The sequence below is a fragment of the Homo sapiens genome, chromosome 1 (genome assembly GCF_000001405.40).
Source record: "Homo sapiens chromosome 1, GRCh38.p14 Primary Assembly".
In the NCBI taxonomy this organism is placed as follows: Eukaryota; Metazoa; Chordata; class Mammalia; order Primates; family Hominidae; genus Homo; species Homo sapiens.
The window spans coordinates 205571409-205592862 of NC_000001.11; the positions used below are offsets into that span (position 1 = coordinate 205571409).

The 21454-nt window shown below is 52.6% G+C and overlaps 1 protein-coding gene and 1 long non-coding RNA gene across 2 annotated transcripts in view, besides 6 other annotated features; one reads left to right on the plus strand and one right to left on the minus strand.

The window, feature by feature from the left end:
* SLC60A1 (solute carrier family 60 member 1) overlaps positions 1-21454 on the plus strand; it is a 33905-nt gene that overhangs the window by 2395 nt on the left and 10056 nt on the right. The window contains exons 2-7 of the mRNA NM_181644.5: positions 8343-8541; positions 9253-9513; positions 12547-12715; positions 13468-13583; positions 14626-14799; positions 20732-20879. Coding sequence (NP_857595.3) covers positions 8343-8541; positions 9253-9513; positions 12547-12715; positions 13468-13583; positions 14626-14799; positions 20732-20879 — 1067 coding nt within the window. The remainder of the gene's footprint in view (positions 1-8342; positions 8542-9252; positions 9514-12546; positions 12716-13467; positions 13584-14625; positions 14800-20731; positions 20880-21454) is intronic.
* Positions 9512-20737, minus strand: LOC124904491 (uncharacterized). The gene is made up of 3 exons (XR_007066823.1): positions 20462-20737; positions 13442-13641; positions 9512-10767 (listed from the first exon to the last, which is right to left on the minus strand). It is a non-coding gene; the product is annotated as an uncharacterized LOC124904491 (long non-coding RNA).
* Positions 14334-14383: an enhancer, noted in NCBI's record as "active region_2381". NCBI's record gives its function as "activates an Ori minimal core promoter by ATAC-STARR-seq in GM12878 lymphoblastoid cells {active_cell/tissue: GM12878}" and the evidence as "EXISTENCE:reporter gene assay evidence [ECO:0000049][PMID:35858748]".
* Positions 14863-15653: an enhancer, noted in NCBI's record as "H3K27ac-H3K4me1 hESC enhancer chr1:205555399-205556189 (GRCh37/hg19 assembly coordinates)". NCBI's record gives its function as "activates a minimal SCP1, AML or CMV promoter by ChIP-STARR-seq in naive H9 embryonic stem cells {active_cell/tissue: H9 hESC(naive)}" and the evidence as "EXISTENCE:reporter gene assay evidence [ECO:0000049][PMID:30033119]".
* Positions 20473-20767: an enhancer, noted in NCBI's record as "tiled region #9898; K562 Activating DNase unmatched - State 1:Tss". NCBI's record gives its function as "activates a minimal TATA promoter and a strong SV40 promoter by Sharpr-MPRA in K562 cells {active_cell/tissue: K562}" and the evidence as "EXISTENCE:reporter gene assay evidence [ECO:0000049][PMID:27701403]".
* Positions 20473-21347: a biological region, named in NCBI's record as "Sharpr-MPRA regulatory region 9898".
* Positions 20588-20947: an enhancer, noted in NCBI's record as "active region_2382". NCBI's record gives its function as "activates an Ori minimal core promoter by ATAC-STARR-seq in GM12878 lymphoblastoid cells {active_cell/tissue: GM12878}" and the evidence as "EXISTENCE:reporter gene assay evidence [ECO:0000049][PMID:35858748]".
* Positions 20847-21347: an enhancer, noted in NCBI's record as "H3K4me1 hESC enhancer chr1:205561383-205561883 (GRCh37/hg19 assembly coordinates)". NCBI's record gives its function as "activates a minimal SCP1, AML or CMV promoter by ChIP-STARR-seq in primed H9 embryonic stem cells {active_cell/tissue: H9 hESC(primed)}" and the evidence as "EXISTENCE:reporter gene assay evidence [ECO:0000049][PMID:30033119]".

Genomic DNA, 21454 nt, shown 5'->3' on the forward strand with positions numbered 1-21454 from the left:
ATGGGCTGGGTATTCCTGAGCTCTGACAACTTCTGGGAATGTAATGGTGGCCCTCTGGGGCTTCCTGCTGGGATCTTTTTGGGGTGGGGTAGATCCTATCAGTGGTTGAGGTTTAAATTCTGAACCTCAGTCCTCCCACCCCCAAGACAAAATGCCATGAAGAACTCTTTCCTTTGGTTAAGAGCAAAGCAGATATACAGTGGAAACAGAGGGATGTCCAGGGGTGGCCTTGAGTGTAGGCGACAGTCTCCCACCACCTTGCTGACTCTGGGCAGCTCTCATCACAGTCTCCCATCCCCCCAGCCAGAAGCTCCACCAGCCCTGCAACAAAGCTTTAAAGCTGGATTCTGTGGGACCATGTCTCAGTTAAAATGCAATACCCCTGCAAGCAAGTGCTTTGCAGCTTAAGTGATTACCAGCTAACGCTCTCACTTGGTTTATACTTGTGAGTGGGGGATTGCTTTAACAAATCTGTGAGAGCCAGCTGTTGCGGGGGAGTGGGGGAAAGTTTAGGATGACACATGGGAGAGGATAGTTGGGGGCAGTGTCTTTCTCGTGGGTTCCTACTCAGGTCCTGCCTACTGCTGGGCCCAGACTGAGGGCACAGGCAGAATGGGGCTTGTGGATGCCTCCATAGGGATGTGCTTTGGGAGGACTACGTGTGGAAGGTGGAGAGCCTTGGCTATTGGAGTGGGTGCAGGGGAAGACTTGAGCTCAGGGCAGCACCAGCTTGCTCACTCTCTCAGAGAAAAACAAAAAGCCACCTGGTTGGCAAGGGTGTGTAGGTGTGTGCTTTGTCAGGCAGGAAAGGGGAAGGGGTATTTAGATTAAAGGTTAGGATTTTTCCTGGTTTCTTGGGGATCTGTCTAACCGCCCTAGGGAATTAGGAGACCCCTTTATCTCGAAGGCGTCAGCATAGGTAAACAACTTTCAGAGCTTCCCCAGGCTTCTCCCAGCCTCACCTTGGCCTCTCCCCTGCCCATGCTTTCTTAACAGAGGGTTTGTCAGAGGATCTGTTGAGTTCTTCCTCTCTTTGACCTATTCACTTTTCTCTTTTTGTTCCTTTTTTCCCCCTCAAATTCCTCCTAATCTGCAAGTCCTACCCTGCCCCAGACCTAGCTATGACTCCCTCCTGGCCATTGCACCAAACCCTGTCTTCCATACACCAGTTGCCCAGGCCACCCCTAGATATGCTGGCCCCCTCCAGTCCCTGGAACACAGGACAAACCAGCTTCTCCCCTTGAGCTGGGCTGTGGTTGGTCTCCCATCCAGAAAGCCTCTGCCTCTCCCTCCAGCACCTTGTCTACCAGTCAGCATGCAACAAACCTGTGCCAAAAGCCTACTGAGCGTCCAGTACCAGACATTGTCCTTGTTTTAAAAATCAGTCTCAACATGGGGCTATCATAGGGTCCCAACTCCCAGGTATGATCCCCAAAGAATTGAAAATGTATGTCCACACACTAAACCTGTACGTGGATGTTCATAGCAGCATTATTCATCCGAGTCAAAAAGTAGAAACAAACCAAATGTCCATCAGCGGATGGATGGACAAACAAAAACGTGGTTTATCCAGCCAGGTGTGGTGGTGGATGCCTTGTTGTTCCAGCTACCTGAGAGGCTGAGGTGGGACGCTCGCTTGAGCCCAGGAGTTCAAAGACAACCTGGGCAGCACAGTGAGACTCCAGTGTCAAAACCAAACAAAACAAAAATGTGGTATATTGGCCGGGCACATTGGCTCACTCCTATGATCCCAGCACTTTGGGAGGCTGAGGCGGGTAGATCACCTGAGGTCAGGAGTCCAAGACCAGCCTGGCCAACATGGTGAAACCCCATCTCTACTAAAAAAAAAACAAAAACAAAAATTAGCTAGGCACAGTGGTACGTGCCTGTAATCCCAGCTACTCGGGAGGCTGAGGCAGGAGAATCGCTTGAACCAGGAGGCGGAGGTTGCAGTTAGCCGAGATTGTGCCATTGCACTCCAGCTTGGGTGACAAGAGCGAAACTCTGTCTCAAAAAAAGAAAAAAAAAAAGTGGTATATCCATGCAACGGAATATCACTCAGCCATAAAAAGGAATGAGATACTGACACATGCTATACCATGGATGATCTGGAAAACATTATGCTAAGTGAAAGAAGACAGACACAAGAGATCACATATCATTTAATTTATGTAAAAGTTCAGAATAAGGAAATCTGCAGATACAGAAACTAAATTAGTAGTTGCCTAGGGCTAAGGGTAAGGTGTGGAGATGAATGGGGAGTGACTACTAATGAATATAAGATTTCTTTTTTATTTTTATTTTTTGAGACATAGTCTTGTTCTTTTGCCCAAGCTGCAGTGAGGTGGTACGATCTCATCTCACTGCAAACCCTGCCTCCCGGGTTCAAGCAATTCTCATGCCTCAGGCCTCCCTAGAAGCTGAGATTACAGGCATGCGCTGCCACACCCAGCTAATTTTTGTATTTTTAGTGGAGACAGGTTTCACCGTGTTGGCCAGGCTGCCCTCGAACTCCTGACCTCAAGCAGTCCGCCTACCTTGGCCTCCCAAAGTGCTGGGATTACAGGTGTGAGCCACTGCGCCTGGCCTGGATATAAGATTTCTTTTTGGGGTGACAGAAATGCTCTAAAGGTAGATTGTAGTGATGGTTTTACAACTCCAAATATTCTAAAAACCATTGAATTGTACGCTTAAATATGTGAATTTTATAGTATGTAATTTATATATCAATTTTTTTTAAGTTAAAAAAACCTCAAAGCCAGGTTCGGTGGCTCACACCTGTAATTCCAGCACTTTGGGAGGCCAAGGTGGGAGGACCACTTGAGGGCAGGAGTTCAAGACCAGCCTGGGCAACACAGTGAGACCTTGTCTCAAAAAAAATTTTAAATTAGCTGGGCATGGTGGTGCACACCTATAGTCCCAGCTACTCAGGAGGCAGAAGTGGGAGGGTCACTTGAGCCTGGAGGTTGAGGCTGTCGTGAGCCATGATTGCATCACTGCACTCCCACCTGAGCAACAGAGCAAGACCCTATCTCAAAAACCAAAACAAAAATCTCAAAACTTATACCATCCATTAATTCACTCATTCAACAAATACCTCTTGAGCCGGATCCTGTTTTAAGGGTGACTACAACAGACAAAGTAAAAGTCGCTGCACTCTTGGAGCCCACACTGTGGAGAATTTTACATTGTGAAATGAAGGAAATCAAGCAGGGTAGCATGGAGAGTGGCACATTTTGGGGGCCACTTAGCTAGGTGATCAAGGAAGCCCTTTCTGGGGAGATGATATTAAAGCTGACTCTTGCGCGACAGGAGAGAGCCAGGCGTGCAAAGAATTGAGGGAGAGGTGTTCCAAGTGAACAGACTGCAAGTTCAAGCTCAACCAACATCTAAGGAGCACGCCCTGTGTGCCTAGCACCATGGTGGGCCCCAGGGGATGCCATCATGCACAAGTTGCAGCTCCCAACCTCAGAGTCTAACAGGGTGGTCCTGCCGTAGCTTGGAATCTCCCCAAAGACCAGTTTGTCTGCCCCTCCCTTTGGATCTCTCCAGCTTTAACATGGGGCCCTTAACAACTGAGGTGTCAGTGTGAAGGCTGGGGTGACCAAGTTAGAGGGGGGCCTTTTTATCCCTGGCCTTGCCCTCAGTCTCAGCTGCCCCTTCCCCATCAGCCTGGCCTGAGATAGAGTCACCAGCCTGCCCTAGCTCCCAGGGGGTCCCTTGTCTACTGGTTTCTTGTCCCAGGTCCCCAAACCATCTCCTTCTGGGCTGCTGCCCCTTTTGGGGTGGATAGGGGCTAGGGACACTTCCATCCGTGACTCTTCCACATTTCTGCTCCCTGCCCTTCTCCCCTGGTCCTTCGAGGAAGGAGATTTTCCAGGCTGGGAGGGGAGAGGTGGGAGGAAGATGTCCTAAGCATCCCTGCTGGGCAGAGGGATCACCTGGGACAAACATGTGAAGAGAATGTCGATGCCATCAGGCCCTACCCAGGGTGGCATGGGGGCTGGGCTTCAGCAGCATTCTTCCCCACCCCTGGGGTGGCAGGCAGGAATGGGCTGCCTGGCATCTTACTGCTCAGGCCCTTCCCCTGTTTCAGAGCCAACTATTCCCTCCTCTTTTCACAGAACCAGGAAGGCAAGAACAGGTGCTCAAGGCAAGGCCAGGTCAAAGTGATCATGTATGCCCTGTGGGTAAGGCAGAGCATGGGGCTGAAGGGGGCAGCAGCAGCTCAAGGTCACCCAGCAACAGGGGCTGGGCAGGCAGCTCCAGCAGAGCCACAGCTCACCTGGGGGAGAACTCAGGCTCCTTCCTCTTCCCTCTCCCACTTAGACCTTCTGTGTGGAGCCATTAATAAGTAACTTGGTCATTTCTGAGACTTCCTGAAGTAGGTTTTCCAGACTGTCCAGGCTATATCTTGGGTCTCTCTGGGCCTTGGGGAAAGTGAGGCTCTTTCTCTAATTGGCCTGAATTAACCTGTGAGCCCAGGACCAGGGGAGGGAAGACCAATGCCACTCTGCCACTCTGCTGGCTTTGCCTGGGTTGGGAGCCAAGACTTTGGATCCTGGCTCAGTTCTACTCCTCTCTTTTCCCCTATCTGGGCCTCAGTTTCCTGATCTGTAAAATGAGGGACAGGACTCATGTCATTGCTGCCACCTTAGCTGGGACGCTGCCCAGGGTGGAGAGTGAGTGGGGCGGGGGACAAGAGGTAGGAGCAGGGGTATCTCCCTCCAACAGTTCCTGGGCCAGCCTCCCAGGGTCACCCCAAAGGGCACTGCAGCAGGAATAGGGGCAGGCCTGGGAGGGTAGAATCTGGGAGCTGGCACTGGTCTCTGTACCCTGTCAGCTCAGTGCAGTTCTCTGGGCCCAACATTGCTCTTTGGGGAAGCCAGGGCCAGCAGGGAGGCAGTGAGCACCTGGGAGGGGTGGCAAGTGGCCAGGGGAAAATCCCAGAGAGTGAGCAAAGGAGGATGAAATGTCACATCACATGGACTCCTCGTGGCAGCCCCAACCTCATGCAGAGCTTGTTATCCCCATTTTACAGCAGAGGAAACTGAGGCTCAGAGGGGCTAAGCATAAGTGGCTTGCCCAAGCCACATCTCTGGGAAGTGGCCAAGGTGGGCCTAGAACCCAGTATTCTGATTCCAGATCGCACTCCATCCTGGATGCCAAAACTGTTTTGACATGGTTATTCCATAATTTTTAATTATCCACATTCCTAGAAGGGGCTATTGACCAAGCCATTTAAAACAGGCAATAAATGTATTTCGGTCTGGCTCTGGGATGTGTCTGGGACTTCCTTTTCCTTGGCAACAGCATATCATTCTAAAGAAATTTGTTCAGGCTGATGTTTGGAATGCCCAGGCACAGCCCTATGGAAGCAACTGGGGAGGGTGGGCAGCCTGGGATCTACAGACAAGATTTCCTGTGATACAGATGTCCCCATTTATTGGGAACAGGTCTCCATCGCCCTAACCTCCAGGCCTATCAAACTAAAATCACAGTCCAGGGAGATGCAGGGAGGGGATTTCCCAGGCGTGGTTCTCTCCAACCTCCCTTTTCCGTCTTTTCTCTCTTTATCCCTCCCTCCTGCCTGTGGCTGAGCCTGGGACAAACCATACCTCCAGTGGGCACCTAGTGTCCTTCTCAAGAATGACAGGTGAAAGGAGACAAACAGCAGTGAACAGGACAGAGATGAGACCTGGACAGGGCTTCCTGACCCCTTCCAGCCCTTACTGACCCCTTCTCTTTTTCCCAATCCCCACTGTACACCGGGCACCTTCCTGGCAACCCGTCCCTACATGATTCTTTCTCTGCCTCTATCTCTGTCTCCCCTATCAGATAAACTAGCAAAACTCCCACATCGGCCTCCCAGCAGTGCCCAGTCCCTTCTACCAGGCCACCCCATGTGGGCTGGCAAGACAAGCGTTCCCCAAGCACTGCGCCGGTCACTAGCCACGTCCAGGAACCTGGGTTGAGCGTCTCTGCAGAGCCGAACATGGGGCCAGGCATGGCTTCCACAATGAACAGGCAGAGGCAGATGCCTGGGGAAGCTGGTGGTGGAGCCAGCAGTGATGCTCGCGAGCATGTGGATCTCTGCTAACCCCCGCAGAGGGGTGTTAGAGGCGCATGTTCTAGAGACCGCAGCTGCTCTCCAGTGCTTCCTAGCCTTGCCATTCAACGCTCTGCAGAATCTGGCCTCCTATTCTCGGCTGGCACTCCCCTCTCCAGCCTGGCTGGGTCCGTGGCTCCTTCCTCTCCCCTCCTGCATTTGCACCTTCTGAGTGGAGCCATTAGCGAGTAACTCAGTCACATACCCATACACATGCACCCACATGTGCACGCACACACACTCCTCCCTGGAAAAGCAGCATAGCATAGGGACTATCAAGCCAGAAGACCTTGGTTAGAGTTCAGGCTCTGTCTGCTGCTATCTTAGCTTTTCTCAGCCCGAGTTTACTCACTGGTCAAATGGGCACAACGACAAAGCCTGCTTCATAGCCTTGTCATATGAACCAAGTGACAAACGTTAGCAGTTGTCAGCAGACCGTAGTACTCGCTATCATCCTGGTTTCCTTTCCCATACCTCTGCGCAGCCCCTGCCCCTGTCAGTTTACTGATCCCAGGTCCCGTTCCCCTCAGGACTTTGCTGCAGGATGGATGACTTCACTTTCCTGCAGGATTGAAAGACAATAATGATAATGAGCTAGTTCTTCGAGAGAGTTTTTGCACTTGCCTTGGGGCATCCCTGCTTACGCAAAGTGGTGAGTGAGGTGGTAGAAATGTCATGTCCTGGTACCCGTGTCAGTAGAGGGACCTCTGAGAGTGCAGACAGGGGACTCTCTGGCTATCCCTGAAGTCAGGCCACCTAGGAGGCTGCCTAGTCTGTCTTGTCCAGGGAAAGGGAGGGGAAAGAGAGAGAACTATGATGAGCAGCCTGCTGTTTTATCAGCCCACGGTGTGTGTTAGCATTGCCTCCCCATGACGCACTCTCCCTCCATCTCCTAACAGCTGGCCTTGAGGTTGGTCCCCCTCTCCTCCCCCATGAGTTCTGAGCTGGGAACATGCTGGGGTCATGACTGTCATGATCGGTAATCTCCCCAGCAGATCAGCCTGGAAACAAGAAAGGAGAAAGTAACGAACTGCTCTATCAGCAGAGCCATTCTGATAGAGGATTTAATCAAAGATGGGGCAAGATGAGATGGCTGAGGGCCAAGGCCAAGAGCCAAGGGGGTCAGGGGCAGAAGCTCTGGGAAGACAGCCTGAGTGATCACTGGGGCCCTCCTCTTTTTTTTTCAGTGTGAAACTCAGAGAGGCCTTTCCCCCTCCCCTCTCTCAGCTCCCACCTTTCCAGGTCCAGCAGCCACACTGGAGGCTGATGGGGTGGGGGGCTCTCTCCCTTTTCATAATCTGAGAAAGTTCCTCTACAACCTCCAGAACCTGCCTGCTGCCCAATCTCTCCTCTCTGACATTAGACTTTCAGACTGGTCTCAGAAAATACAAGTCTTTATCCTTTCTCTGAGAGTCTGGTTATTGGGCAGAGTGTCCCAAAAAAGACCTTGACAGAGCCTTAGACACTCCATCCAATCATTCATTCATTCACTGATAGGGTAGCAGGCCCTCCCCCTGCCTGCTGTGGGCTTTTCTATTATCTGAAAAAGGGGAAGATCAACACGGTCACCTTTCAGTGTGTATGGCCACAGCCCCTCCTTTCCCCACTTCTGCACATTTGCCAGGCACAGAGCCTGCGACCTCTGCCTGCTACAGGGGTCATCAAATCACCTGAATACCTGGGTTGTGGGCGCTGGTGTGGGCGTCTCAGGCCGGGTGCCTGTGAAGCAATGGCGTCCTCACCATTCCTGTGTGGGGAGGACACAGGGCAGCCAGCGCCAATTCCTGGGCAAGAAGAAATGCCCAGCTCTGAGACTTCTGGGCTCAGGTTCCATCCAGGTGGGTCCCACCTGCGGTTGCATGCCTATGACACATGCCTCTTGAGATGCTCAAAACAGGTTCCCTGAAAAGGGTGGGGAATATTTTTGCATTTAATTGCTTTTAAGTAAACAATTTAGGGTTTAAGGAAATAACGTGCAATTGTTTGTAAGTAGAATACTAGTGGCTAGGCTTTGTGAAGTGTCCTGCAGCCACCTTGTGAGGTAGATTGTTATCTGAGCAGACTTTGACAACTTGCCCACAGCTAATAAGTGAGCAGCTTCTTCCTCAGCTCTCTTCCTTTTCTACCAGAGGGGGAGAAATGTCTTGGCTGCCCAGACCACCCAGTGAATGGAGGAGAAGGGGGAGGGGATGCTTCCAGCCCCATCCCCTGACATCACCCTTCCCTCCTGCAGCCTGGCCCAGTCACTATGGGCCCTGTTCACCTCCTCTCTGGCCATCTCCCTGGTGTTTGCCGTCATCCCCTTCTGCCGCGACGTGAAGGTGCTGGCCTCAGTCATGGCGCTGGCGGGCTTGGCCATGGGCTGCATCGACACCGTGGCCAACATGCAGCTGGTAAGGATGTACCAGAAGGACTCGGCCGTCTTCCTCCAGGTAAGCCCGGCCAGCAGGCACAGGGCTGGGAGCTGGGGAGGGCATGGGAGCTCCCTAGGCCCCCTCAGTCTCTCCCAGCCTCCTCCCCCAGGGGCCCACTTACCAGCTGGGTTAGTAAGTTCTAGACTCGGTTTTCCCATCTCTAAAGCAGAGCAGTGATCCCTGCCCTCACTGCAGGGTGTCCCAGGAGCCTAAGCGCTTGGGAAAGAAAGCTCTTTGCGAACTGGAAAGGTGGTGTGACTCAGGGCTTGCCTCCCCTCTCCTTCCCCTCCTTCCCTCTCTCTCCTTTCTTCGTCTTTCTCCCCCCGGGATTCAGCCAGCCCTTCCCTTTTTGTGCCCAGGATTCAGCCAGCCCTTCCCTTTTTGTGCCCCCTTCCCTTTAGGGTGTTAGCTGGTGGATGCTAACATGGTGATCAGTCCCAGCTGAGGATTAACAGAGATGGGGAGGGAATTGGGCACTGTCACCCGAGTCATCCCAGGCTGGCAGGGTGGTTGAGAGAGGTGTGTCACTCCTCACCTCCCCTCACCTCTCCTGCTTCCTGCACCCATGGCTCCCCATTCCAGGGCTGGGCAACAGCCCCTACATGGGGCAGAGGGTGGGGCTGGGGGAGGGGGCTCAGTGTGGGTCCTCTGGACCGGAGGCCAGGCCACCACTTCCCCGGGCTGAAGACTGACCCCCACCCCCACCCGCCACCTCTCCTCTGTCCCCAGGTGCTCCATTTCTTCGTGGGCTTTGGTGCTCTGCTGAGCCCCCTTATTGCTGACCCTTTCCTGTCTGAGGCCAACTGCTTGCCTGCCAATAGCACGGCCAACACCACCTCCCGAGGCCACCTGTTCCATGTCTCCAGGGTGCTGGGCCAGCACCACGTAGATGCCAAGCCTTGGTCCAACCAGACGTTCCCAGGGCTGACTCCAAAGGACGGGGCAGGGACCCGAGTGTCCTATGCCTTCTGGATCATGGCCCTCATCAATGTGAGTGTCCCTGGGGTGGGCCAGGTAGGGAGCTAGTGGACAGTCCACACATCCCAGTCCACCCCACACCCAGTGAAGATTCTTCAGATGCTGAGAAACGTGCTGGGGCTGAGGTGTGCATCCCAGAGGCAGGAGGATGGGAGGACAAACCCTCCCCGGGATCCCCTGCACTACTCCACCATCCTTCAGCGACCTGTGATTGCAGTTCTCAAGGAGGGTAAAACAGTGAGCTGAGCACAGTGAAAATCAGGGTCAACTTTCGAATTATCTGAGGTTCTGTGGGAAACTAGTTTTTTCCTCCAAGGCCAGATGAAGTGGACCCTGGACAGACCCCGGCAGGAAGTGGAAGGTTTTTCTCTGGGTCCCTTCATCAATGGTGGGATTCTCCTGTGCCCTCCTGTCAGGGGCTCCTGTGGAGGCTAGGAGACAGACAAGATGACCTCTGAAGGGCCCTGCCTGCCAAGGCAGCCTATGGTGGGAACAGCGAGAGACCACTTCACCCCGTGACTGCGTCACATACCGAGGCCCGCTTTGTACACCCCTGCCAAGTCAGCACTGACTCTGGCCTCCAGCTGGAAACCTCCTCTGGTGCTCTGCAAACCCAAGTTGGGATCTCTCACGTTAGCCCAGACTGGAGCCAGAGTGTCAGGTGGGGAGACCCCCTACCCCCATCCACCTGGGTTGGGGAGGACTGTCGGGAACACCAGAGCATCCCTGGCTCCTGGGCCGGGGGTGGGGAGCATTACAGTGGCCACTGTCTTGGCTGTGGGATGGAGGCACCATGCTGCTTGTCATGGTGGCTTAGAGCCTCTCTTTGCAGTAGGTGGACTTCTCAGCTCTCCTGGGGCAGGTGGGCTGGACTCAGGCACTAGAGCAGCTGCCCAGCTGCTGCTGAGCCTCAGAATATGCCACACACATAGCACTGAAAGGAGCCTTTGAGACCACCATTCCAGTGAGCAGCAGGGCAAGGGTGGGGGTGTCATGCCATCACCAGCTCAAAGCCCTGACAAGGGACTGATAGGAGGCTGAGCCCGGCTGGAAGCCCTGACCCTCAGCATAGACCATCTACCTGCTGCCCCCTCATCACCAGTCCTTTTCCTTCCTTTCCTTTGTAGATTTCCTTTCCCTGGCCCGAATCTCCTCTGGGGGCTCTCATAAACCCACCCTCTCCGTCTGCTCCTTCCCTTTTCAGCCCATGCCCATCCATTGTTTTGGAAAGAATGCGGCTTTGGGCCCGTTCCTTCCAGGAGAGACCTGCGAAGGAAAGGAGCAGTGTCAGTAGAACCTCTAGGCTGAGACTCCCAGACCAGGAAGCCGGAAGGTCCGGCTTAAGCCCGAGGTTTGTTCTCTCTTGCCCCATGAAGTGCAGGCTGGAGGGACTTTGTTTGCTGCAGGATTTCCGGACTTTTTCTATTGGTTTGTGTCTGAAAATAAACAGTCCAGCACGGAGGAAGATGGGCTGTGCATGTACTCATGTGGGTGCACACGCACACACACATGTGCACCCCACCTGCCCTTCTCTGACTTTTAAGGTGGGGCTGCCTTCCCTGAATGGAATTCTTATAAAATTGGGTGTGTTCCTGCCAGCAATGCCAGCCAATCCTCTGTGAAGCCCTTCCCAGCACCCACCTCCCTGGAAAGCCCCACCTGAGCGATCACGCCTCTTGTACAGCTGTTTCCACTTGGCCTTCACTCAGGCACTCTGCCACTACAGGCCTCTGTGGGTGGGTTTCCTGTTTCCCCCCTCACACTGGAGGAAGGGCTGTGTCTCCCCCATTAGGGCTCAGCAGGGGCTGTTCTCTCCCCACTCAGGCCTGACTGCCAGGGGCCATGTCTGACCTTGACTTCTTTTTGAGTGTGCAGAAAGGCTCCCAAGGTCACCATAGGGAGGTGCCAACACAGGGGTGGTTTTTGTCTTTCACTCCTGTTAGGTGACTTGAGGAAATACTGGTGAGAGCCAGCCTGCCTCCAGGGGCAGGGAAGGGCTCCCCCAGAACACCACCAGGCAGGGGCTGGCAGTCTGCCAGCCTTCCATCTCTATCCTATGCCTCTCCCGTGGGCCAGGAAGAGCCCAATAGCTGGGCGCTCTCACCAGCCTCTGGGAGACATCTGCAGCTCCCTGGGCTTCCTGTCTTTCCTAAGTGAAAGGAACTGGGCTGAAGTTGCAGCAAGAAGGACAATAGTTAGACTTGATGCGGTACTTCCTGGCAACCAGGGTGGTGAGACACAAGCAGGGGCCCCTGAGGGAGGTGGTGGAGGCTTCCCCAGGCAACCTCAGAAGCAGGAGCCATTTCCCACTGCTCTGAAGGAGTTCCGATTTAGCATAAATAGCAGCAAACTGAACATAGGGCTTATGTGTACAGGCTGTTCGTAAACATGTATTTCTCAATCAAAAGGAGATCATGTTTTTGTTTTCAAGCCCCTGAGAAGAGCCTCTGTGCCCTGCTAGGATCAACATCACCAAGGCATCTCCTTAGGTAGAGACAGCACTGGAAGGATCAGGATGCCAGGCTCCATTCTGGCTTTGCCCCAAGTCCACTGTGTGACCAGGGCAGTCTCTCAGTCTCTAGTTTACCCCTCAGATCTCTTCCAGTTCTAACAGGTTACGACTAAGTGATAACATCCCCCAGCATGTTTTGTAGAGATGTGATGCCCAAAAGCAAAGCTGCTTTGTAAAGCATCACGCAACCCACCAGCATGAAGGAGTGTGAGGTGTGACACTCCAGCAAGCTTACTCCCAGCACCTCTCCTGGGCCAGCAGAGAGTTTGAGTCTAAGCTTTGCATGCGACAAATATCTGTCTTTTCAGGGACGCGAGTATGGTGATCAGGCAGCAATTACAGCAGGCCTCCCCACTCCTACCTTGGTCAAGGCACCTGGCTTCTTAGGTTGGGATGGCTCAGCTTTTAGCTGGGCACCCTTAGAAAAGAGCTGTCTTCTCCCAGGACTATGCACATGCAGTGTGTGCAGAGGCCAGGCGTGGGAAGGGGGAGCTTCAGGGCAGGGCTCTCCTGACCCTCTGCCTGCTCCCCAGCTTCCAGTGCCCATGGCTGTGCTGATGCTGCTGTCCAAGGAGCGGCTGCTGACCTGCTGTCCCCAGAGGAGGCCCCTGCTTCTGTCTGCTGATGAGCTTGCCTTGGAGACACAGCCTCCTGAGAAGGAAGATGCCTCCTCACTGCCCCCAAAGTTTCAGTCACACCTAGGTAGGGGCTCTAATGAATCTGCATCCTCACAGCCTCATGTTGAGGCTTCCTTGGTAACCCCTCTCCCAGAGAGAGTGAACCTAGATCACAGGTGATTTTTTTTTTTTTTTTTTTTGAGACAGAGTTTCACTCTCGTCGCCCAGGCTGGAGTGCAGTGGTGCAATCTCGGCTCATTGCAACCTCCGCCTCCCAGGTTCAAGCGATTCTCCTGTCTCAGCCTCCCAAGTTGCGGGGATTACAGTCACATGCCACTACACCTGGCTAATTTTTGTATTTTTAAAGTAGAGAAGGGGTTTCGCCACGTTGGCCAGGCTGGTCTCAAACTCCTGATCTCAGGTGATCCATCTGCCTCGGCCTCCCAAAGTGCTGGGATTATAGGTGTAAGCCACCATGCCTGGCCACAGGTGATAGTCCTTTTTTTTTTTAAAAAAAAAAAAAAAAAAGAAAATCTTGGCCCTGATGGTGCAACCTGACCAAGAGAATGAGGAAGGCAGACTTCTGACTTCACCCTCCATTCTGCTCAGCCTTGCCTTTTGTTACCTTGGGCAAGTCACCTGACCTCTCTGAGCCTTGGCTCCACCAAGACTGGGAGATGGACAGGGGTTATTCCTAACAGAAAGGTCGTGAAAGTAGAGGCAGTAAGTGGGCCCCATCCTGCAGGGCTCTTCTGACTGCCAGCCACGGCCCTGGGACATGCAGAGGGAGGGAGCAGAAGCTGAGACTCACCCCTGTTCTTCCTGTGCCTCCTGCAGGGCATGAGGACCTGTTCAGCTGCTGCCAAAGGAAGAACCTCAGAGGAGCCCCTTATTCCTTCTTTGCCATCCACATCACGGGCGCCCTGGTACTGTTCATGACGGATGGGTTGACGGTGAGCCTGCCTCAGAGGGCGCCCCCTACTGGGGGACCCTTCACCCCCAGACTCCAGTCTGGGAAAGGCAAGAGAAAGAGAGGAGCATGAAGGTTTCCTGGAGACTTCTCCTGGAGTACACTTGATTCAAAAATTTAATCTGAAGTCCTAGGGTGACTGTCTCCAGAATCAGTCACAGCACGTTGGTACTATGGGCTTCTGTCTTGGCCAATTGTTTTTTATTTTTGTTTTATTTTTGTTAATGCTATAGGTAGGGGCCTAACTGGTCTGTTGTCAAGGACAGGCTACCTGCATTTTTTAAAGGGGTGGTGCCCTATTCCCCAATTAGAGGTCATGCTATATAAACAGGGTACTTTGCTTCCTGGAATACATTACAAACCTGGGTGTCTCGAGCCAGTGTTGTAAACAAGCTTCAGGTGGAATTTAGGCCCAGCTGTTCATGCCACTAGTGACCTCTGTTACATTAGTTAGCACCTTTTTCCAGAAACTTCTTAGGATTATATTAGGGCAGTCGTGAATGGCTGATCAACTGATTGCCATATGATGACCTCTCCAGAGAAAAAGCCCTAAAAACTTAGATGACCTGGTGGAAAGTACTCGTGACAGTACTGGTTGACTTCCAGCACTGGGTGTGACCTCGGGCAAGTCACTTCTGTCTGCTTTCTCATCTGTAAAACCAGATGCTTGCACACACCTTTTTTTTTTTTTTTAAGTCATGTTCTGCTCTGGTTGAAGTGGGGAGCAGTGCCTGTCTGCCCAGGCCCTGCGGGCACTCCCATGGAGATCCAGAGCCACCTCTCTGGAACCCCTAGGTCTCCACAGTGCAGTCTGTAAGCTAAGGCACCCCAGCTTCTGTCCTCAGCTTGAGCCAAGTGTGTAGTGTGGCCTTGACTCCAAGCCCAGCCCTGGCTGAGCCTCTGGGAGTGGGAACAGGCAGTCCTCCCTCTGCCCTCCCCACACCTGCCCAGCCTGGGCTCCCTTTGTGAGGGTCATTGTCTGGCTGGGCTGCAGGTGTGCTCAACAGCGCCCGGTCTCTCCACAGGGTGCCTATTCCGCCTTCGTGTACAGCTATGCTGTGGAGAAGCCCCTGTCTGTGGGACACAAGGTGGCTGGCTACCTCCCCAGCCTCTTCTGGGGCTTCATCACACTGGGCCGGCTCCTCTCCATTCCCATATCCTCAAGAATGAAGCCGGCCACCATGGTTTTCATCAACGTGGTAAGCAGCTGAATAGCCTCCTCTCTCTTCTGAGAGACCCAGGAGAAGCCGCCTCCTCCTGGCCCTACCCCAGGACGTTTGCCCAGGCCTACATTCTGCCAGCAGGATGGGAACTCAGGAGTAGAGGGAAGAGAGGAGAGAGAGGATGACGAGGAAGGGGTGGGAGCCTGGGAGGTGGAGCCTACCTGGGTGACCATGAAAAGTCCCTTCCCCTCTCTGGGCTGCTGATCTTATACCCTTAAAACATAAAAGGAAAGGTCTGTAGGAGGTGCTGGCTGCAGTGTGTGGAGCCCATCCCAGCCAACAACTGGCTATGAGCGTGAGGAAAGCCAGTGCTGGCCCTGGTCCTCCTGTGTTTACCTTGGTGCCCAGCTGCTCAGAGCCCTCCAGTCAGTGGAAAGCTGTGGAGGCCAGGGATCCCACAACCGTCGGAATCACTGCCTCTGGGCTGGGGCCTGGGGATTTGCATTTGGTAGCTCTCCTAGGTGACTCTTTTTTTTTTTTTTTGAGATAGGGTCTCCCTTTGTCACCCAGGATGGAGCACAGTGGTGTGATCTCAGCTCACTGCAACCTCTGTCTCCCAGGTTCAAGTGATTCTCCTGCCTCAGCCTCCCAAGTAACTGGGATGACAGGTGCCTACCACCATGCCTGGCTAATTTTTGTATTTTTAATGGTGATGGGGTTTCACCACGTTGGCCAGGCTGGTCTTGAACTCCTGACCTCTTAATGATCCACCCGCCTCGGCCTCCCAAAGTGCTGGGATTACAGGAGTAAGCCACTCTGCCTAGCGCTAGGTGATTCTTAAGTAGGCAGGACATGGAGGATGACCTTCAAGGAACTGATCTGCCTAGGAGGCAGGAGGTCTGGGCCTGAGCAGTGGGTTAAGACCCTTGCCTTGGTGTGTCCATCCAGGTCACCATCCATGACACAGGGGTCCACATTACAGACTTCTGCCAAATTGTCTAGTCCAACCTCCCATCAGGCTTGAGCCACCTCTATCTATAACATCCCTTCCAAGGGGTTCACTGTCTGCTTAAACACCTCTAGTAACTGCAACTCACTACCTTTCCAAGTAGCCCAATGAGGGTACTAAGTCCAGGTAAGAAAGCATTTCCTTGGTTGAATTTCTAGCAGAGAGCGGGTTTGGACATAAGGTTGCAGTTTCAGAGACAAAGATCATGATCCCCAAGAAAGGCCTTTGGATTTGACCTCGTGCCAGTTGACCCCCAAGAAAGAAATTTCAGTTCAATGTAGATGGGAGGTAGGTGATAAACCCAAACGCAAGAGGTTGAGGGTGAGAGGGAGATGAGCAGTGGAGGAATTTGCATTTCTCTTTGTAAATATTTTTGAGTTGAAGGGAGTTGTGTTCTGCAGGACTCAGGGTGGTATGGGCCTGCTTATAGTAGAGGATAAAGGGAGGACACCTATTAGGAGGAGGAGTCTGTGAAAATACCATTGTGAGAGAGTAACCGAGTGAGGAAGGCCCTGACAGAGGGGAGGTGGGATGGAGAGCGGGAGTGGAGGAGGCTCTAAGCTCAGCAAGGAGGAAGGCCCCTGTCCATGGAGTTGGGGCGAAACGATGTCAAAGGGGAAAGGTTCCAGAAGAGGAAGGGCACAGACATGGGGCCAGCCCTGGCTTCCCTGTCTAGGTCAGACACAAGGCCAATTGCTAAGACAGAGGAGAGTGGGTGGAAATCTGGGTTTGGGAAAATAAAGGTCTGAAGCATCCACATATGTTAGGCATTGCCCATAGACACTCACCTGGAGTGCTGGGTTTTAAAAAGGAAAATCAGGTTCCTGGGCCCAACCCAGACTGAGTGAATCCGAATGTCCAGGAGGAGGCATAGCAATCTATAAATTAAACAAATACCCCAGGGGAATTACATCATCCAGCAAGCTCAGGAAAACACTGTCCTAGAACAAGTGACTCCCAAATACATTAGATTCACTGGAGCTGCTTTTTGAAAATAGGATCATGAAAAGGCCAGGCGCGGTGGCTCACACCTGTAATCCCAGAACTTTGGGAGGCCGAGGCGGGTGGATCATGAGGTCAGGAGTTCGAGACCAGCCTGACCAACATGGTGATACCCCATCTCTACTAAAAATACAAAAATTAGCCGGGCGTGGTGGCGCCTGCCTGTAATCCCAACTACTCAGGAGGCTGAGGCAGGAGAATCACTTGAACCTAGCAGGCAGAGGTTGCAGTGAGCTGAAATGGTGCCACTGCCCTCCAGCCTGAGAGACAGAGCAAGACTTCAAATCAAAAAAAAAAAAAAAAAAAAAGAAAGAGAAAATAGGATCATGGACCCCTACCCCAGAGATTCTAATTTAGGAGGTATGGAGAAGAGCCTGGGCCTCTGGGTTGTTTTGGAAGCTTTCCAGCTGCTTTTGTGGGCACCCTGTTTGGGAACTGCAGCTGAGTGGCCCTGAGCAAGCCTCTCCTGTGTAGATGTGAAGTGCCTGTGTCATATTCACTGTGACTACTTCCGAGTATTCCTCTCTAGGTTAAATTAATGGCCACCCTGTTCTCAGCATTCTCCTGGAGCTCAACAGCTACTTCCTGACTTAGTATGTTTGTGCTATGTGCAAAGCCCTGCTGCAAACTGCAGGCCGCCAAGTTCTGGAAGACAAGGTTCTTGCTTCCAGGGAGCTTACGGCCGGCCAGAGGAGGGCAGTGTGCCCCAGCACAGATGGAGGGTGAGGGTGTAGGCAGTGGGGATGCAGGCTCAGTACCAGACTGAGTCACTGGCTGAGGCAGGGGCCACACTGCGTGGGAAGAGAGTTGGTGGAGCTGATAGTTCGTCCTGGTTAGTCTTCTATCACCAAGGCTAAAATAAGACTCGGGTGTCTTTCAAACTTCCCCAAATTTAGGGATTTTCAGGGTGACGGTCTTTGAGGCATGGCTGGAAATGCATGTGGTTTGTACATGGGGTAGCCAGGTGGAAGAAGAGGAGCAGGAGTGGCGGCTTCCAAACCCCGGCATCTGTCCCAGGCTCCTAAGTTGAACACTGAATATTAAGAAGGTGCCAGCCCCTGAAGGCAGGAGGTGAGCAGGCCTGGCTGAAGTTCAAAGGCCCGTGTTCAAAGGCCTGGGTTAGGGGCTAGGAGGCTAACTTGGGGGGAGCACGGTAGGCAGGGTGGGGGATCGGGAGCAGAAAAAGATGAGGATGGGGAAGTAAACAGGGGCTACATCCTCAGGGTTTTGTAAGGTGGGCTTTGAATTTTATTCTAAGTGGGCAGGAAGCCAATAGGTTTTAAGCAGGTCTGCGTTGCATTTTCTTTTTTCTTTTTATTTTTTTGCATCTCACAGATACATTTATTCATGCTATGAAGTAAACGACACTTATACAGGTGCCCCGTGATGTTTCACATTTCCATCTAACATAGCTTGCATTGCATTTTTAAAATTTATTATTGTTTTTTTTAGAGAGACAGGGTCTCACTATGTTGCCCAGGCTGGTCTTGAACTCCTGGGCCCAAGCGATCCTTCCTGCCTCAGCCTACCAAAGTGGTAGAACTAGACAGGAGCCACCATCTCCAGCCACTTGCACTGCATTTTAAAAGTGCACTCCAGTGTGGAAGAACAGACTGTAGCTGGCAAGAGTCAAACACAGACTGTCTGTTATTGTAGTCCAGGCGCAAGAGGGAGGTGGCTGGGATGGGGTGGTCTGGATGGATCTGGAGCAGTACAAGGATCGAACATGTTTTTTGAGATGGTGTGGACAGGACTTGTTGCTGACCCAGGTGTGGGAGGTAAGGAAAGGAGGAATCAAGGACCTTAGACACAGGACTTGAGCAACTGCATGACTGGGATGCCCTCACTTGATGTGTGCAGGAGTAGGATTGGCAGAGGAAATTAAGAGTCTAGTTTGGGCCACATGGTTAGTCATCCAGGGACTGACTATATCCAAGGGGCAGCTTTAGGTGCAAGTCCGGAGTCCTGGACACAGCTCATGGCTAGAGGGATAGATACAAGCATGCCTGCTGTAGAGGCAGGTGAAACGTGGAGCAGGGCACTGCGGACATGGAAGAGCCAGAAGAGAATCCTGGGCCACCCCAACATTGAGAGAGTGAACAGAGGGGAAAGCAAGAACAAATGGATCTCAGGGACCATGTTCTGTGCCAAAGAAAGACATGACCTTTGGAACCATAGTTATGCTATGACTTTCATATTTTTACTGCATGAAAGAAGTCTTTTGTCTTTCCATTTCCATTCTGAAGGGAATGTGTTTCTCTCCTTCGGCCACTGTTTTGTGGCTGATCCCTCCCCAGGGAAGGAAGTCTGTCTGGGTAAGGCCTCTGAGCCTCGAGACCACCTTCCACCTAACAGATCCTGTGGCAGAGACGGAAGGGCTGCTAGAGGAGCGTAAAGGCCTCAAGGATTAGGAGCACCGGCTTTGATTTTCCAATTGGAGCAACTCTCCCAGGATCGGCTCCCAACCCTGAAAGTCTTTCCTTTCTGCATGCCCAGAAGTGGAGGGGTTGGGAGCTGGATGAGATTTCTTGCCTAGCTCTATAGTCTGTACTTACTTTTTAAAGAAACAGATGTCTTCATCCAGGAGATTTTTACCTCAAAGCCATAGGCTGCTATAGAAGATCCTTATCTCCTGAGACGTCTAAGAAAAGCCCACAGAGAAACACTAGGACTCATATTTGTCTGAAGCACCACAGTTTACAGAGCCCCTTCATCTGTATTATTTCACCACCACTCTTTAGTGTGGCTTTTGTAACTATTCCTATTTTGCAGATTAGGAAGTTAAGAATCAGAGCAATCAGCTACTTCTGGGTTCCACAGCTGGTAAAAAACACATCGGGACTTCCACCTGGGTCTTCTGACCCCAAATCTTGTGCTGCCTGGGTTTATTCCCAGATACATCTTGCACAGAAGTGACTCAATGCAGACATAAAAACGTGTTTAAAGAACTTAGAAATATGGTTATATTAACAAAAACATGCCTGTATGACAGAGACCTTTACTGAACTAGAAAGATTTGGCTGGGCGTGGGGGCTCATGCCTGTAATCCCAACAGTTTGGGAAGCTGAGGCAGATGGATTGCTTGAGCCCAGAAGTTCAAGACCAGCCTGGGCAACATGGCGAACCCTTTCTCGACTAAAAATACAGAAAATTAGCAGGCGTGGTGGCACATGCCTGAGGTCCCAGCTACTCAGGAGGCTGAGGTGGGAGGAACGCTTGAGCCCTGTAGGTCGAGGCTGCAGTGAGCTGAGATTGCACCACTGCACTCCAATTTGGGCAACAGAGTGAGACCCTGTCTCTCAAAAAAAAAAAAAAAAAAAGGAAAGAAAAGAAAGATTTCTGGGTCTCCAACCATAGGTTAGCATCTGCCCATGGGAATCTGAGCCAAATCTGAGGGTGCCAAGCTGACTGCCACAGCCACTGACCCTCTCCCTGGGTGGCTGGCTAGGATTCCCAGAGGATGGGACCCTGCTGCCACCACCCCTCTTCCCCTGCTATCTGATGGCTTCCTGTCTGTGCACTCTTGGCTTTCAGGAGAAGAGAAGCAGCTTCTCACAAAGAAACAGAGACTCTCCTACCCCCAGGGCTGGCAGGGCAGAGAGAGCTGATGAAATTGGCTTGGGTGGAGTTCCCGCGGTTACAGATAAGACCTTGGGGACAGGTAGTCCTCAGTCCCCAAATGCTTACGCAGCGTGTACCGTAGCTGTTAGGGGAGATGTCTAGGTGGGAAGATGTCTAGGCGGGGGTCTCCTTTCCACGCTTCCTTCCAGATGTCAGAACGGTCCCCGGAACACTGCGGTTCCCGCCTGGTCCACGGGGTGGCGCGCGGGTCACACAGCTGGGCTCCTTGGGCTAGAGAGGAAACGCCAAGCCAGGAGACGCCGACTCCTGGCGGTTCCTCACCACCGATGCTCAGCTTTTCGCAATTCCTAACCGCCTCCACCTCTGCCGCGACAGGTTGGCGTGGTGGTGACGTTCCTGGTGCTGCTTATTTTCTCCTACAACGTCGTCTTCCTGTTCGTGGGGACGGCAAGCCTGGGCCTGTTTCTCAGCAGCACCTTCCCCAGCATGCTGGCCTACACGGAGGACTCGCTGCAGTACAAAGGTGAGGGCCGGGCCCGAGCCAGGAGGCGCGCTCTATCTAGCTGGGCGCCGCCGCCTCGCTCTGCCCTGTCTCTCTGTGCTCTTTTTTTTTTTTTTTAATTTTATTATTATTATACTTCACGTTTTAGGGTACATGTGCACAACGTGCAGGTTTGTTACATATGTATACATGTGCCATGTTGGTGTGCTGCACCCATTAACTCGTCATTTAGCATTAGGTATATCTCCTAATGCTATCCCTCCCCCCTCTCCCCACCCCACAACTGTCCCAGGTGTGTGATGTTCCCCTGTGCTCTTCTAGGCCAGCACCATCTCCCAGCGAGAACGCTGCCCTAGCTCCCTGGAGAAATGAACACCCCCCTCCTGACTTTGGCGGGAGCAGGCCCACAGCCGGGGTGGTTCTGACCCGCTGGGCTCCCTCCATTCAGAATGATCCCCGTAATGATGGGATTTTAGGCCGCAGAGAAGCAGTTAAGCTTCTTTTTTCCATCCGCTTTGTCCCCATCGTAACGTCTGCTGACCTGCAGCTGACATTTTGTGCGATATGGATGTGCTGGAAATGCCAAGTTCAAAGAA